The 1,474-nt window shown below is 57.9% G+C and overlaps 1 annotated feature.

The window, feature by feature from the left end:
- Window positions 744-1,474: an enhancer, noted in NCBI's record as "H3K27ac-H3K4me1 hESC enhancer chr9:96632251-96632981 (GRCh37/hg19 assembly coordinates)". NCBI's record gives its function as "activates a minimal SCP1, AML or CMV promoter by ChIP-STARR-seq in naive H9 embryonic stem cells {active_cell/tissue: H9 hESC(naive)}" and the evidence as "EXISTENCE:reporter gene assay evidence [ECO:0000049][PMID:30033119]".

Raw genomic sequence — 1,474 nt, 5'->3', positions numbered from 1 at the left:
GTCTGATGGTCATCGGCCAAGGACTGGTAATACCTGAGGTCTGAATTCTGAGGTGCTCCCCATCCTTCAGGTGTAGACGCAAAGTGGGTTCCAGCAGCTTCAGGGCACCTCTCTCCCTGCAAAGGAGCCTCAGGGGCTGATAGGGGAGTGGATTTCACCTTGAGACTGTGGGAACAGAGGGTGCAGAAGGCCAGGGCTGGGTGGGACCTGACAGGTCCACTACATCCCAGACTGTGGGAGGTCAGGTGTCTTTGTGTGTTTGCTTAATAAATAGAGAACATTGGGGCAATCTCCCATTTGGTAGCTTACTCATAAGAGTGCAGCTGCCCTGTCAGCTCCTGATACTCGGCTGGGTACTGGGCACGGACAGGACCCACCAGATAAGGTCTCTGTCTCAGAGAACCTGGCGGGAGGAAGGGAGTAGCACTGTGTGTCCAAGTTGGAACAGGTACTCCATGCATCACAGGGGTACCAGTTCATCCCGGGGTGAGCCGGGGGAGAGGGAGCCAGGGAGAACTTCCTGGAGGAGCAGATGTCTAAGGAGAGACAGATTTACGGTAAAAATAGCAAAGGACTTGTCCTGCCAGAGGAAAGTGTAGAATCCTCTAGTTCCAGGGGCCAGGGAAGGCCTGAGGGTTTGGCTGGGTGGGAAGCCCCATCCTGTTACCTGCCAGCTGTGTCACAGCTACTCTCTGGATCTCAGTGTCCCCACCTGTGAGAGGAGAGGGTGGCCAAGTAGGCATCCAAGCCCCAACAGAGCAGGGGGTCAGAGGCACCTGGACTCAGTAATGGGGTGGCTGTGTGAGTGGTCATAGGGTGGCTGTGTGAGGGGTCATGGGATGGCTGTGTGAGTGGCTGTGGGCAGGTGTCCTAGTCCCACAGGCTCAGCTCCCAGCCCACGGAACCCAGGGCTGCAGTGCGGCTGGGGCAGCCAGTCAGGCTTTGGAAAGTGTGAAAGCTCAGTATTGTGTGTATGTGTGTGGTGCACGTGTGTGCATGTGGTGTGTGAAGCTTGTGTGGTGCATGCGTTGTGTGTGCGTGTGATACATGTGAAATTTCTGTCCTCCCATCCCCTAAGGTGAACCCCACCAGCCACAGATCCTTGCTCAGGAGCCAACATGGCCATAAGACCCTCACCCTGTCCCCAAGGCTGTGTCTTCCCTCCAGCCTTGGCCTCCTGGTCAGGGAGCAAGCAGGTGGTAGTACGAGATATCTGAGGCTCGGCTGCTGCTCTGCTCTGGGGTTCTGGGATGGTGGGAGGTGGGATGCAGGGTCAGGACTAGCCGAGAACTCTAGTCTGGCAGCCCACAGCTGACATTTCACCCCCTGCCCAGGCCATGCCACCTGGGGGCGGGCTCCCCAGCAGCTGGCTCTCAGGCTTCTCTCAGGCCAGAGACGGGGGTGGGGACCTGCTGGGCAGGAAATGACCTTGTCCTCTCACTGGCTCTCCAGGGACCTCTGCCCACAGCGCGAG

The sequence above is a fragment of the Homo sapiens genome, chromosome 9 (genome assembly GCF_000001405.40).
Source record: "Homo sapiens chromosome 9, GRCh38.p14 Primary Assembly".
In the NCBI taxonomy this organism is placed as follows: Eukaryota; Metazoa; Chordata; class Mammalia; order Primates; family Hominidae; genus Homo; species Homo sapiens.
Note: the sequence above shows the minus strand (reverse complement) of the source record. Positions and strands in the feature narration are given on the sequence as shown.